The 14,148-nt window shown below is 51.0% G+C and overlaps 1 protein-coding gene across 7 annotated transcripts, besides 6 other annotated features; it reads left to right on the forward strand.

The window, feature by feature from the left end:
• Positions 1-372: 372 nt before the first annotated feature.
• PSMG4 (proteasome assembly chaperone 4) lies at positions 373-14,018 on the forward strand. 7 transcript variants are annotated; one of them, XM_047418768.1, is made up of 5 exons: positions 373-860; positions 1,020-1,198; positions 9,653-9,728; positions 10,178-10,294; positions 13,560-14,018. In XM_047418768.1, the coding sequence occupies exons 2-5, from the start codon at positions 1,142-1,144 to the stop codon at positions 13,679-13,681; spliced, it is 372 nt and encodes a 123-aa protein (XP_047274724.1). In that variant the 5' UTR covers positions 373-860; positions 1,020-1,141; the 3' UTR covers positions 13,682-14,018. The 7 variants fall into 7 exon arrangements, with proteins under 7 accessions (XP_047274724.1, XP_011512893.1, XP_011512897.1 ...); XM_011514591.4 differs by having other exon boundaries at positions 373-1,198; XM_011514595.3 differs by lacking the exon at positions 13,560-14,018 and having other exon boundaries at positions 10,143-10,229.
• Positions 4,736-4,985: a silencer, noted in NCBI's record as "silent region_16850". NCBI's record gives its function as "represses an Ori minimal core promoter by ATAC-STARR-seq in GM12878 lymphoblastoid cells {active_cell/tissue: GM12878}" and the evidence as "EXISTENCE:reporter gene assay evidence [ECO:0000049][PMID:35858748]".
• Positions 5,106-5,225: a silencer, noted in NCBI's record as "silent region_16851". NCBI's record gives its function as "represses an Ori minimal core promoter by ATAC-STARR-seq in GM12878 lymphoblastoid cells {active_cell/tissue: GM12878}" and the evidence as "EXISTENCE:reporter gene assay evidence [ECO:0000049][PMID:35858748]".
• Positions 5,276-5,375: a silencer, noted in NCBI's record as "silent region_16852". NCBI's record gives its function as "represses an Ori minimal core promoter by ATAC-STARR-seq in GM12878 lymphoblastoid cells {active_cell/tissue: GM12878}" and the evidence as "EXISTENCE:reporter gene assay evidence [ECO:0000049][PMID:35858748]".
• Positions 5,496-5,625: an enhancer, noted in NCBI's record as "active region_23887". NCBI's record gives its function as "activates an Ori minimal core promoter by ATAC-STARR-seq in GM12878 lymphoblastoid cells {active_cell/tissue: GM12878}" and the evidence as "EXISTENCE:reporter gene assay evidence [ECO:0000049][PMID:35858748]".
• Positions 11,752-12,253: an enhancer, noted in NCBI's record as "H3K4me1 hESC enhancer chr6:3266017-3266518 (GRCh37/hg19 assembly coordinates)". NCBI's record gives its function as "activates a minimal SCP1, AML or CMV promoter by ChIP-STARR-seq in primed H9 embryonic stem cells {active_cell/tissue: H9 hESC(primed)}" and the evidence as "EXISTENCE:reporter gene assay evidence [ECO:0000049][PMID:30033119]".
• Positions 12,254-12,753: an enhancer, noted in NCBI's record as "H3K4me1 hESC enhancer chr6:3266519-3267018 (GRCh37/hg19 assembly coordinates)". NCBI's record gives its function as "activates a minimal SCP1, AML or CMV promoter by ChIP-STARR-seq in primed H9 embryonic stem cells {active_cell/tissue: H9 hESC(primed)}" and the evidence as "EXISTENCE:reporter gene assay evidence [ECO:0000049][PMID:30033119]".
• Positions 14,019-14,148: the final 130 nt, after the last annotated feature.

Genomic DNA, 14,148 nt, shown 5'->3' on the forward strand with positions numbered 1-14,148 from the left:
ACTTAAACAACTTTCATGTCCCTCTGGAGAATTATATATGCGCTAATCAGCACTCTGTGTCTTCCCAATCTGGTAGGGACTTGGAGAACTTTTATGTCTAGCTAAAGGATTGTAAATACACCAATCAGCACTCTGTGTCTAGCTCAGGGATTGTAAACGCACCAATCAGCATCCTGTCAAAAAATGGACGCATCTGCTCTTTGTAAAACGGACCAATCAGCTCTCTGTAAAACGGACCAATCAGCTCTCTGTAAAACAGACCAATCAGCTCTCTGTAAAATGGACCAATCAGCTCTCTGTAAAATGGGCCAATCAGCAGGATGTGGGTGGGGTCAGATAAGGGAATAAAAGCAGGCTGCCCGACCTGCTGTTGGTGGCACATCTGAGGAGGTATGGCTTTGTGCTGTAATAGTTTTCTGCTTTTTTTGTGTGTCTTTTTAGATAAATATTGTTGCTGGTGGTTTTTTGTGTATGTGTTGGGTTTATGAGCTGTAACAATTATCTGGAAGGTGTGCAGATTTGTTCTCGGGGTTTGTGAGGCTGGGAACCCAACGATGGAAGTAAATAATTCCAGTAGGCGTAGCTTTAAGAGGTGTAACACTGATTGTGAAGGCCTACAGCTTTGTTCCTTCAAGCTGCGAAACCACTAAACTCAACAGAAAGAAGCTGTGGGATGCGCCTGGACACCAGAAAAAACAAACTCCCCCTGTGCCTCTTTTAAAAACTGTAATGCTCACCTGTAGGGTCTGGCTGAATGCTTGGGGTCAGAGCAACAAGACACCAATTCTGGACACAGTGGGACCTTAGAAAACACTTTAACTCAGGGTGAACATGAGATGCTGGAGGGTGACTCCGACCTTGTAAGTGAATGATCTCTGAGCTGGTGCTTCAGCCATTCTCTCACTGGGTGTCAGCTGTTGGGTGTTGCAGAGCATGTGATGTGGCTGTGGATCCCATGGACCTAGCGCACTCCCATGTGGGAGCGCTGGGATAATGGCGCTTTCTGATTCTCTGGACAGGAACAAACACACTTGGAATATGCTTCTATTCCTAAGAAGTTGGCTGCATAGGAGCACAACATCACCAGCTTACCACGTATTGGTCATTCTCTTTGAGGAGCAGGGCCATACTGACGGCTTACATGTGCGCTCTGGTGGAAGTAGGATGTTTGGTGGCAGCAGGAGCAAAATCAACTCTGGTAAGCCTTCCATGCTGTTGGGTTCTGTGTTACCACGGCTGTCTTACGGGTCTATCGGTGCCCATCCTGGGAGAGTGGTGGATGAGGCTAACGGCAACTGGTGGAGTCATTCTATGTAGTTGCTTAATTTTTCCTGTGGTGGATGATGTTTGTTGAGTGATAACATGACAAGGATTTTCACACTTCGTGGACACTCCAGCCACATGCCCCTTCTCAGACCACCACCTCTTTTATCTTCCCGTCTTTCTCCCCAAAGGTACCTAAACTGCCTGGCCAGGTCATTCCCCACTGCCCATGAGTCTGTATAGACTCCAACCTTGGGCTGCTGTTCTGTTTACATGAGATGGTTACCCAGACCCACTGCCTGAGTGAGGCAGAAGTGCAGCTGTCATCTATTTGTAGCTTGCGCCCACAGACAAACGAGTCCGAGAGCCTTAAGTGATTTGTATGAGATCCCTCCTATGGCCAAAAGCAGGAACTGAAGAAGGGGTATTGGTAAAACAGGTGGCAGTGGGCAAATGCACCAATGTGATATTCTGTGGAATGTCCAGAGAGTCCCAATCTTTTCAGACAGGGCAGAGATTAGAATTGTGGGCAAAACTGTAAATGAATGTCGTCCATCTCACGTGAATGCAAATTGTTTTGTCTTCCTCTTTCCTGATTGGGATAGAAAACACATTTGCTGCATCCTTGGTCACGTACCATGTACCTATGGCATTATCACACCACTCTAGCAAAGATTCCACATCTGCTATGGCAGCCACAATGGGGATTGCTTCTTGGTTGGGTTTATAGAAGTCAATTGCCATCTTCCAGGACTTGACTGAATTAAATAGCAATATGAAGTCTACCACCACTGCATCCTTTGGCTCCTGAAGGGTGGCACAAATTTTCACCATCCTCCCCAGGATGGAATACTGTTTTTGACATGCTTGCTTGGCTGGGGGAAGGGCAATAATTCTAGAAGCTTCCACTTGGTTTTCTCCACTATGATAGCTCCTACCCTATAGGGCACAGATCCAATGTGGGTGCTGGGCTAATTTCTAGGTATATATATCCCAGTTATACATTTGAGGACCAGGGAAATGACCCCTGATGGGTCCACAGACCCAGTGGACCTTTGGCGAGGACTCCCTTTATTTTCTGTTCCTGTATGGATGGTTCCCCACTCGAGAAGGACTGTGATGACACTTCAGTTTCCCCAGATCTCAATTCCAGCTCTAACCCTTCAAATGTTGCATCTTCCTCCTCCTGTGATGTGTGGCCAGCCACTCGGTCATTTGGGGAACGGCTGGGGCGATTGTTACGGCACATGGTGGTGCCGGGGACCTGGTCACCTCTCCAGTTGTTGGGTTCCAGGCCCAGGCATCATAATGTTTTTGGGGGGTGACAACATTCAGCCGCCTGACCATCCATTCTTGATTTCTTTTGATAGTGTAAGGTGAATACCGCCCTTGCAGTAGGCAGGGTGGGCTGACTCCCTGGGCACTCTGGAGCCAAAATGGCCCATCAGAGTTGTGAGTTGTTCTGCACTGGGGCAAACTGGCCTGGCTTTCATAGTCTGCCTCCATCAGTTATTGTATGTGGGCTGCCACGGGGAGGGTGTGCAGACTCTAGAGGAGGCCGTGGCAGAAGGTAGGATTTGTAGCAGTTGGGACAAGTTTTTTTTGAAGTGGACCTAGGTGGCACATGCAGGCTCTTTGGAGACGCATCACAGATAATGAGGGGGGTTCCTGAGGACGTGAAAGGACAGGGTCAGAGCACAGGTGGATGGATTGACCTTCTGTACAAGGAGGGACATCTTTATCTTTCACTGTCACAGAGTGAGCAGAAGGAAAGATAGGGTCCAATGAAGATAAGCATTTTAGGAGAGGGACAAGGAGCTGGGAAAATCTGGCTTTGTCACCTCTATTTTCTGCATAACATCAGAAGCAAGGGCATCTGCTGAACTTGGGTTTGGGTCAGCTCAGGGTTTGGGGAGCATAGTCAAGGGGAGTGAGAGAGGACGCTGTCTAGGGACTGCAGGGCAGTGTTCCAGGGCCGCTGATGTTGGGCATGACTGGCTGTGACCCTCTGCCTGTGTGTTTCCCGAGCAGTGACAGCAAAGCTGGAGAGAGAGAGGAGCATTGAGGTTTTGAGACATGTATAACCAGTGAAACCATCATTACAATCCAGATTGAGAAATTTGCCATGCCAGCCAGGCCTTGAACTCTCCACCGGTCGGTAACTTTGTTTCCTTAATCTTTGGGTCCTCCTAGCTGATTGAAGGGCCTCAAATCACAAAGTAAAGGGATAAAACAATTATGGTGTAGCCATACAATGGAACACTGCTTAGTAATACAAAGACACAAGCCATTGACACACAAGCAGATGAACCCAAGATAATTATGATGAAGGAAAGAAGCTGGACAAAAAACAGTACATACTGTGTGATTCCACTGATACAAAACTCTGGAAAATGCAGACTAATCTGTGTGGCAGGAAGCAGATCAGTGGTTGGGGGCAGGAGTCATTACTGAGGGCAGGAGGGAGTACTGGACGCGTTCACTTTGTGGATTGTGATGATGATTTCACTGGCTATAACGTGTCAAGACTTCAATTTGTACACTATATATGTGCAGTTATTGTATGTTAATCACATTTTAATAAAGCTGTTAAAATATTGACCTGAAAATTAACTGTATTATTGAATCATCGATAATTAGCAAATAGAACTATGGAAAATGCCCTCTTAAATTTCAATTTAGTCAACTTAGATCTATTAGAGATTTTTAAAGCAGACCTTTTATAGTTCCAAGTTAAATCTCTAAAGTCAGTTGTAACAGAATCTGACAAAATGGGCTGTTTTCTTTTACCACCTTCTCTCTTAACCCATCAAGGCTTCCTTTTCTCAACTCTGTAATGTCCTGAAGTGTTCAAGGGGTCTCCCCATAGGTATGACAATGGGATGATTGGATGATTGTTGGTGCTTCCCATTAATCTCTCTTGAGATCCTTTCCACGTCTCCGAAAGGCACCTGTTCTTATTTGCATTTTGCAGATGAGGAAACTGAGTCTCAGAGAGGTTAAGGGGGTAGCCCGAGGCCATGTACATGACTGCAGCTTGGGACTCGGCGTCCAAAAGGGTGCCTGCCCATCCTCCTGCCAACTTAGTTGACACAATTTTCCTTTCTAAAGGCTTTCTCCCAATACCGTTGCCATTCTTAATTAGGGCTGGGTGCCGTCGAAGCCTCCTTGGAGTTAAAGGGCTGCTAGGAGGAGGAGGTGGGACGGGAGGTGGCCGTTCTCAGAGTGCTTGAAGAACTAATTAAAAATCAGTCTTTTTAAATTTTTAATTAAATTAATGTCTGTAGGGCGAAGTGTCACGGCCTGGGAGGACGGTGCGGCTGGCTTCAGCCCTTGAATGCCCCGCGTCAGTAATAATTAGGGGGTGGGGGGAAACAAAGCGAGGGTGAGTTCTGCTGGGCGCCCGTGGACTCCTAGAGGTCACTGTCGCACTCTGCTACTCAAGTGGGTTTCCCCAGCCCGTCCAGAGAGGTACTGGTGTGCGGGAGAGGCCAGCAAGACAACCAGGGACAGCTACTCCGCCCAGGGCCGGCAGCCGCCCCGCCTCGACCACGCCCCCAACCCAAGCCCGGGATCGCCCCTCCCCGACCACGCCCCTCACCCCCGCCCTTCCGGGGCCGAAAGCGAAAGCGCGCTCGGTCTCTCGGTGCTCGCTCCATCGGGTCTGGCGGGGCTGGCAGCGGCGAGGACCCGGGTCTGGCGCTGTGGGCCGGGAGCCGTGGGGCGGCATGGAGGGGCTGGTTGTCGCCGCCGGCGGGGACGTCTCCCTGCACAACTTCAGCGCGAGGCTGTGGGAGCAGCTGGTCCACTTCCACGTCATGCGGCTGACGGACTCGCTGTTCCTGTGGGTGGGGGCCACGCCGCACCTGCGCAACCTCGCCGTGGCCATGTGCAGCCGCTACGTGAGTGCCTGGCGGCCGAGGGTGCGGGCGGCGGGGCGGGGGCGCGGGGGCGCCGGGCCTGCGCGAGCTGCAGCCCCCCAGGCTTCTCTTGGGTCCACAGGGCGCCCTACTCCCCCGAAGCCCACCCGTGGGATGTCTTAGGAAGCCCGCGGGCGCCAGGGCCTGCACCACCTCGGGAGCTGCGCGCGGGCCCCGGGCCCCTCTCCTTGTCCCGCCGCCCCGCAGCTGCGTCCCGCACTGGTCTCTGTAGGTCAGAATGTCTTGGGTCTGTCCTCGCCACACGCTCGCTGGGGGACGCGTCTGCCTCGTAGCTCTCCTGCCATCTGGATTTTGAGCACACTGATAATTTTTTGGGGACTCTTGCGTCTCCACTGGATGTCTCAGGCATTTCGCACTAGGCACACATCAGGCTCTCTTCTCCAAACCTGCTCCCTCCTCCGCCTGACTGGCGCTGTGATGGCAGCTCCATCTTCCTGGCTGTGCGTTCAGAGCCTCGCAGTTGTCTTTGATTCCTCTTTCTTCACACTCCACGTGCTGAGTCCCTAGGCACTGCCGCCAGTCAAAGCAGACAAAACCCAAGCCGCCCTCACCTTCACCCTGCCGCGCTGGGCCAAGCCTGGGACATTATCATTTCCCCTCCTCTCCCGCCTTTCCGGCTTTGCGTGTCGCCGCCTGGTTTCTCCTGGTTTCCTGAGGCAGCTGTAAGAAAGTGCCACAGACCGCGTGGCTTAAAACAACAGAGGTTTATTCTCAAAGATCTGTAGACAAGGTCTCTCACTGTCACCCAGGCTGGGGTACAGTGTCATTATTATAGCTCACTGTCACCTCAAACTCCTGGGCTTAAGTGATCCTCCTTCCTCAGCCTCCCGAGTAGCTAGGACTACAGACATGTGCCACCATACCTGGCTAATTGTGTTTTTTTGTAGAGATGGGGGTCTCACTATTTTGCCCAGGCTGTTCTTGAACTCCTGGCCTCAAGTGATGATCCTCCTTCCTCAGTGAGCCCGACTCTTCTCATAAGGACATCAGTAATGTTGGATTAAGGGCCCATCCTACTCCAGTATAACCTTGTCTTAAATTGTATATATATATATATTTTTTTTTTTTTTTTTTGAAGCAAAGTCTTGCTCTGTCGCCCAGGCTGGAGTGCAATGGCGTGATCTTGGCTTACTGCAACCTCCGCCTCCCAGGTTCAAGCAGTTCTGCCTCACCCTCCTGAGTAGCTGGGATTACAGGTGTGAGCCATCACGCCGGGCTAATTTTTGTAGTTTCAGTAGAGCTGAGGTTTCATTATGTTGGCCAGGCTGATCTCGAAATTCTGACCTCGTGATCCGCCTGCCTCGGCCTCCCAAAGGCAAGCAAGTCCCTTTGGAAGTAAAGAATCTTTATGCTAATCTTTATCCTAAAGTGCCGGGATTATAGGCGTTAGCCGCCGCGCCTGGTCTAAATTACATCTTATTTACATCTGCAGAGACCCTGTTTACAAACAAGGTCACATTCATAGGTACCCAGAGGTTAGGACTTCAACATATTTTTTGGGGAGACACAATTCAGGCCACAACACTGCCTTGTAACCAGGGCAACAGAATGATAGTTTTAAGACTGAAGTTGGATATTTTCATTTCTCTGCTCAAAACCTTTCACGAGGTGAACTCGGAGCACTCGAAGACTCCAGTGACCTTCGGGCTCTGTTACCTCTTAGAGCTCCTGCCTGTCCTCGAGCTGGGCAGTGCTGGCCTCCCAGCCGCATTAGCTCCCTCTCTCAGCCGTTGAGTGTTTCACGGTGAGGTTTGTCTGCTTGCCCAGGGTGAGCGTCTGTTTCTCTAGCTCCTGATGCACCGCTCTCTAAGTCCCTGTGGAATGAATGAGTGAGGCCCCCTCAGCGAGACCCTTCTGAAGCCAGTGAGGCAGTGATGACTGAGGGTGCTGGGGGCAGGAAGTCATGGGTGAGCCTCTTAGCTGTGCACAGCGGCACCTGGGAAGGCCTTGGGAAGGAGATGGCATCTGGATTCCTTTCTTGCTTTTCTTTTCCTTTTCCTTTTTTCTTTTTTTCTTTCCTGGAGGGTCCTGGCAGTGGACCTTTGAGCAGGCGGCAGCGGAAGAGGCCTGGGGGACCAGGGGTGATGGGTGGGGCTGTGTGCTCTGTGCCACCTCGCATTCTCTCTTTATCCCAAGGCATAGTGGGCAGGGCTTTGGGCACTGGTCAGATCTGGTGTCGCTGCCTTGTGCCACTTTGTGCAGTGCTGGTTTGGGCTGGTAAGTTTGGAAGAAGTAGGCTCCTCCTGTGGGTGGTTTTGGTCACCCGACCCCATGGTGGTCACAGCTCCCAGTGAGGTATATTTTCTCATCTGGAAAGTGCCCCTCCAGCAAAGCCAGGCAGGAAAAGGAACAGGGGATTGATTGAGTTACCTGACTTGTCAGAAGTCCAGTCCCTCTCACTGGCCGCAGTGTGCCTGGGTGTTCTCTCCAGGGGCAGAGAGCCGAGCCAGCTGGGGAAAAGAGGTGTAGGCATTAGCTTAAGGCAGGAAGCCCAAGGTTCCTGTGACCCGTGGGGCGGCCCTCCATCTACTGTCCACCTGTGACCCGTGGGCCAGCCCTCCATCTACCGTCCATGCAGGTAGACTCTGTGGAGCTCTTGTACCTTGGTGGCAGGGCTGAGCAGTTGTAATAGAGACTTTGTAATCCATAAAGCCTGAACTAGTTACTATCTGGTCCCTCTCAGGAATTTTGCCAGCCCACACGTGGAGAATGGCACCAGACGGTCTGTGAGGTCTCTTCCCTCCAGCTTCCCTAAACTCCCACATGTGAGACTGTAGAGAACAGACACCATGCAACCCGGAGCTGGCTGACCTTGGGTTGAGCAGGGATTTTTGGTGCCCAGAGAGGCTGCAGGACTAGTGACACTGAGTCCTACCAGCTTGAGGGAAGCTGGCCTGGGACCTGGGCCCGTGCCTGCTCAGGGATTCTTGGACCCCCCGCCCGGCCTCTAGGAGTGGAAGGTGGTGCTTCAGCTGCAGCAGAACTCCCTGGGCATCTGCTGGGAGACCACAGTCCTAGTGTGATGTCGGAAGTAATGAACTATTAAGGGTGACACGATGGGGCTTTACATTTAACTTTTGGTAGAAAAAGGCCACCCTGGGTAAGGTAGATTTTCTTTTTTCTAGAAGGTTTAACTGTACATACTATTACCATGCAGCTAAATGTTGAACTTGAGGAATCTGTAAACAGCAGGCTCATTAAGATATTTTTGTATCGTTTTTAGTGAAGAAGCATACAGTAAATGCTTTCATTCTTCTCCTGTGTTTTTTGATCTCCTGCCTTTTATTGTCTTTTGTGGAAGTGGCTTTGAACCTTTAGGAGATGAGCAGCGCCTGTGGTCTCTGCCCTGCCATACTGTCTGGCACACAGTAGCTGTTTGTTCAGTTAACTTGTCCCCACCAGGACAGTTGGGGTGGCAGGGGAACCAAACCCCAAAGTCTCTGTACCTCTAAAAACCTTGCCACTTTCCAAGATTCTCAGACCTCTGTAGCCAGGCTGCTTCTCCTAGAAATCTGCTATTTTGATAAAAGCAATTTTGGCCATATTACCAATAAGTGTTTTTTTTTTCCCCCTTTGGAAGCTAGACCTTCTTACTTTATTTTTTTATTATTATTTTTAATAAAAATGTAGAGACAGATCTTACTTCATTGTCCAGGCTGGTCTCAAACTCCTGGTCTCAAGCAGTCCTCCCTCCACAGGCTCCCAAAGTGCTGGGATTCTGGGACTAGCTAGACATTGTTAATGGTGAGAGATTACTCCCAAAGTAGTTGGGAGCAGTTACTCCCACATCGCCGGAGGGCCCATTTGTTGATCTGAGAATCATTTGTACTGCTTGTTTCACCTTACTGCTTCTTGTCTGAAATGAGGTTGGCCAAGCATGTTCAGAAGTTATTTTCCCTATTTAGATGCTGGTGGCTGGTGCCCTTTGTATCAAAGTCACAAGGCACTCGCTGACCCTGAGGAGCCCACAGGGGCTGGAGCAGCATGCTCCCTCACAGGCTGAGATGAGGAGATTAGGCATCCTGCCTCTGAGCCAGCTGCTGTGGGGCACGAGGCACCAGTGCACAGGTGCCCCGACTGTGAGTCACTTTCTTCTTGCTGTAGCCTTAATGATCTTGTTTGCTTCCCTTTTGGTTGTGGTGTTGCCCTTCAGCATGCTTTGGAGTTTGAGACACTAAAACGAGCCTTTCGTGTGAAACTGGTCCTAGAACTTAGTAGCACTGTGGTTCCAGCTTCATCTTTCCCAACTCCGCTGACCTCATATGCGACATGGGGTCCACCTACTTGGTTGTTGACGGACGCCACCCCTCTTTCCCTCGGCACCTGTGCCTGTCCTCTCTGAACCTGCCACTGCCATCGTCGTGAAGAATCAGAAGCCCGGAAGCCAGAAGTGTGGCTGGCCTGCGGGGGGTGGAGAAGCTGCAGTGTGCCCTTTGCTTTTCTTTTAGGACTCCATCCCCGTGTCTACCTCCCTCCTTGGAGACACTTCCGACACGACCTCTACTGGCCTTGCCCAGCGCCTAGGTATGTACCCACAGCTGGCGCTGCATGGCCAGCCAGGTGGGGCCCACTCTTTAATGGAACCATGAAGCAAGTCCCTTCGGAAGTAAAGCATCTTTATGCTAAGAACCATCACCTCATTGCTGCTGGGAAGCACAGACCTTTGCACGTTGGGTCTTATTTAAGGGGCACATTCCATGCTCGCCTGTCATCACCACCGTCCCAGGGCTGGCCTGTTCCCAAAGGACTCCCACCTCGTCCTTGGGTGTGTCCTTGAGTCCATGAGCTGATTTAGTTGCCTTCCGTAAGTGCATCACCACCTCCTGGGAGGAGAGCATGAGAAGTGCCCACAGCCCCTGTGGGTGGTGGCTCAAGGTAGCCTCCCGGGCCTTAGGAGGAGTCAGTGCAGCTGGTGGAGCAGGTGTCACCTCTGTGCAGGAAGGACTGTCCTCACTCAGTGTGATACCGTTCAGGGCTCGGAGGGAAGACTGGCCTGGCCTGTGAGTGTGGCGTAGAGTGGGGATTAAGCAAAGGTCATGAGGCTGAATGCTCCACTCTTCCCACACCCCAACACACTTCCTGTGGGCCAGGTAAGGCTTCCATGTGCTCTGCGACCCCCAGCCCCAGTGCCTGTGGCCAGTGTGCACAGGATGCCTGTCTCCTGCCCAGGCCTGGCGTTCTCCAGTAGGCCCAGCTGCTTCTGCTCTGGAGTCTTCTCTGTGTCTCAGGCACAGGACCTGGTACCTGACAAGCAGGAACCTCTGTGTCAGTCACACTGAGGCAAATGCACACGAATAGCATGGCACCTGGCCCAGGGGGAAGGCAGGGCAGGGTGGAGTGTCACCAGCAGGCCCATGACAGTATGTGGATAGGACAGAGGTCAGGGAGGGCACAGGTCAGCATTTCAGGAACTCGCAGTATTCTTTTTCCCTCCCTTGGAGGTGGGGACCTGACTTGTAAGTTAATTTGGTAATTTTTAACTAGGAAGTAAATTTAAAATTTACAGAAAAGTTGCAAAGAAGATAGAATTCCTGCTTAGCTTTTGCCCCAATTTCCCACTTGCCACCCTTCCCTCTTTGTGTTTGTATCTTTTTTTTTCTGAGCCACATGAAAGTAAAGCTGCCTTTTGTGTCTGTGTCACTCTGTGTGTGTGACTGTGTAAGGGGTAGCACACTTACATGGAACAGGTTACTGCGTGTGGGAGAAGGCTCAGGAAGGTATTCATATTTATACAGACGGAAAGCTGGGTGGGGTTGCGGACACACTCCCATAGAGAAGGTGGTGTGAGCTTGTCTGGCAGGCCGTGAATAACTTTCATATCAATAAGGTAAATTAGTCTCCAGAATATTTGCGAGATGGAGGCCTAGTATCTATATGCAAAAAAGAGGGGTTCTCAGTATCTCGACTGTCTCAACAAGTCACGGGTGTGCCGTGGCTTCCGGCGTCTCTTAAGGGAATGGTGCTGCAGAGCTCGGACCAAGAAGGTTTTCCAGCAAAGTCCCATGCTTTGCCAGTTGCCTTGAGCCTGGGTCTGGGCCCTCAAGTTGAAAATGCACTATAATGAAAAGGGAGAGGTGTCCTGAATCAGTATCTTATATGAGAGATGAAAGCAGGTAGGGAAAGAGAAGGCCTGGGGGGTTCTCAGTAGCTCTGGAAGCATCGCAGGAGTTGGTGTGGCCAAGGGGACCCAACCTCCTATGGCCCTGGAGGGGCACAGCTTGGGTCTGAGGGGCTCAGTGCCTCCAGACACAGCGTTGTTCCTCAGAAATCCTGTCTCTGCAGTTAGAACAGTTGGAATACCAGGGGGGCCCCCTTAGGGTAAAGGGGGATGTTCCTGCCCCTGGGATATAGGGCAGGGTGTGACTTACAGGCTCCTCCTAGGCAGCCTTGGTGAGCCCCAGCTTCCTACCACACTGCCTGCCTTTAGATCACCCTCTACATGAGTGGTCCCAGCCTGCCTAACACAGCTAGGAAAGGATGAGGTTGGTCCCTAATGGTGGGGGAAGCCTAAGAGGCTTCCTCACTCCCCGCAGGGCTGAGCAGATAACTGGGCACAACTCTCCGCCTCGGGGGCACACTGCACCCAGCACACTGGTGGGAGGCTCTGTGCTAAGTACTGTAAGCTGTTCTTTAAACACCAGCTCTTGGAATAACCGAACAGCTGCCTTTGTCCGGACACATTCCTTTTTTTTTTTTTTTAATAAAAAAACAGCTTTACCGAGACGTAAACACATGTCATACAATTCAGCAGCTGTCCTCAGGCAGAGGCTGTGCTTGCCGCCGCCTTGCTTTTTCATAGGTGTGTTGGCTGCTTTGTAAGGACAGTCAGTGAGTTAATACCCAAGACCTTTCCAGCCCTAAAAATCACGCAGCCTTGTACAGCGGAAAAACAGGCTTTTGGGGTCCTGGGCTCTCCCTCTCCTCAATTTCCAAACAAAGCTGGGAGAGGTTTCCAGGCCACGGTGGGGCCTGGGCCTGCGCCTGCACCTGCGCCCCTGAGCCACACTGCCTCTCAGGGTTCTTGGTGGGACCATAGCTCAGATGGCAGCAACTGAAAGGACAGAACTGCTGCCCAGATGAGATCCCATGACGTGTGTTCTAAATCGGCCTTTAGTAATGGTGCAGGTGGCCTGGTGCCCTCAGCCTCACCGCACCACCCTTTTGCCTTTTGGTGATGAGGCTAAGTACATGCTTGCCATATGTTGAGGTGGGGGTGGGTCAGTGCCTCTCCAGGGGTGAGTAGTTCTGCACTGGCCCTGCGTATGGGTGAGGCTAAAGGAGGAGGCCGCGCAGTGGGGCAGGCAACATCCAACTGCTTTAGCCTTTTTGCCCACGTATTTTCAGGATATTGGCTTTCAGATTCCAGGTGTATGACTCTGCTTGATTTTTGCAGTTGGCCCAATGTGCACCTCAGCCATTTTCTATTGATTCTGTAGAAGGGGACTAAAACTTACATTCAGTAGAAAATTACGTGTGTGTCCATATGCCTATCTGTGCACACACACACAAATATATTTGTGTGTATACACATATATGCAAATGCATGGAAACGTAGGAGGGAGGGAAGTGGAACTGGTTGGGGTGGGGTGGTGCTGAAGGAGAACTTTAATATTTTATTTTAAATACTTATTTTTTTTTGAGACGGAGTCTTGCTCTATTGCCCAGGCTGGAGTGCAGTGGCGCGATCTTGGCTCACTGCAAGCTCCGCCTCCCGGGTTCACGCCATTCTCCTGCCTCAGCCTCCCGAGTAGCTGGGACTACAGGCGCCCGCCACCATGCCCGGCTAATTTTTTGTATTTTTAGTAGAGACGGGGTTTCAACGTGTTAGCCAGGATGGTCTCGATCTCCTGACCTTATGATCCACCCGTCTCGGCCTCCCAAAGTGCTGGGATTATGGGCGTGAGCCACCGCTCCCGGCCATTTTTTGTGTTTAAATTTTTTTTTTTTTTTTTAAATCAAAACACCAGAAACCCCTCTGTGTAGGGCAGAGGTTCTTAAGCAGTGCGGGGCACCTGCAGGATCTGTTCCAGCAGACAGCTGGCCCCAAATCCTGGCTTTCTGGGTCAGGAGGGCTGGGTGGGGCCCAGCAGCTGCCTCTCGAACAAGTTCCAGGGAGGCTGCTGAGGTGGGGCCTGCCCTTCAGAACCCTGGGTCTGGTGGAGAGACTGGGAGAGGCCTGAGTGACTCGTCTGCATTTGCAGCACCTGTCTGAAGAGAGGCATGGAGATTAGAGCTTTCTTTTCTCCCTACAACCCCATCCTCTTTCTGAGCATTTCCCAGCTGCACGTGGCTGTGAGGAACACGGGGCCTGCAGTATTTCAGGAGTGGCTGTATCAATGTGTTTTCTCTTTTTAGCCAGGAAGACCAACAAACAGGTGTTTGTCAGCTATAACCTTCAGAACACAGACAGTAACTTCGCATTACTTGTAGAAAACAGGATCAAGGAAGAGATGGAGGCTTTCCCCGAAAAGTTCTAGCTGAGTGGCAGAAGTGAGAATTTGTAAACTTATGTACAATGTACGTGTAAATAAATGGATTGAATTTCAGTTTGTCATCAGGCCGCGCTCCCGTTTTGTTTTTAAGGGGTTAATCTTTTGAGCTTCCTTCTCAGCAGTGTGTGGGCCAAAAGGCTCATACTGACCCACCTGGTGAAGGAGAGGCAAAGTGGGCAGTATATACTTCCTCATTTGGCTGTGAGTGATAGAGGGATGAAATGGGATTTTTGTTGGGATTGAAGACTGTAATCTAAGAGTTTCAATCAGACATGACTGTGACGTGCATCCTCAATTAGAATTAAAGTGATGTATAAATATGCTTTAGATTTGTGTGTGCATTCCTCAGAATTCTGCCTTGTGAATTGATGCATTTATCTCCTCATTGCAGTGAAACCCCAGGGCACGTCTCTTCTTGCTGTGTTCTCCCTAAACCCCTCCTCTGGGCACTC

The sequence above is a fragment of the Homo sapiens genome, chromosome 6 (assembly GCF_000001405.40).
Source record: "Homo sapiens chromosome 6, GRCh38.p14 Primary Assembly".
NCBI lineage: Eukaryota > Metazoa > Chordata > Mammalia > Primates > Hominidae > Homo > Homo sapiens.

Excerpts from the sequence above, each read along its gene's own strand:
- PSMG4 (NM_001128592.2), top strand. The coding sequence starts at position 4,992 with ATGGAGGGGCTGGTTGTCGCCGCCGGCGGGGACGTCTCCCTGCACAAC. Across the intron at positions 5,166-9,652 it reads TGGCCATGTGCAGCCGCTAC|GACTCCATCCCCGTGTCTAC; the intron begins GTGAGTGCCTGG and ends CTTTTCTTTTAG. Across the intron at positions 10,295-13,559 it reads ACACACTTCCTGTGGGCCAG|CCAGGAAGACCAACAAACAG; the intron begins GTAAGGCTTCCA and ends TTCTCTTTTTAG.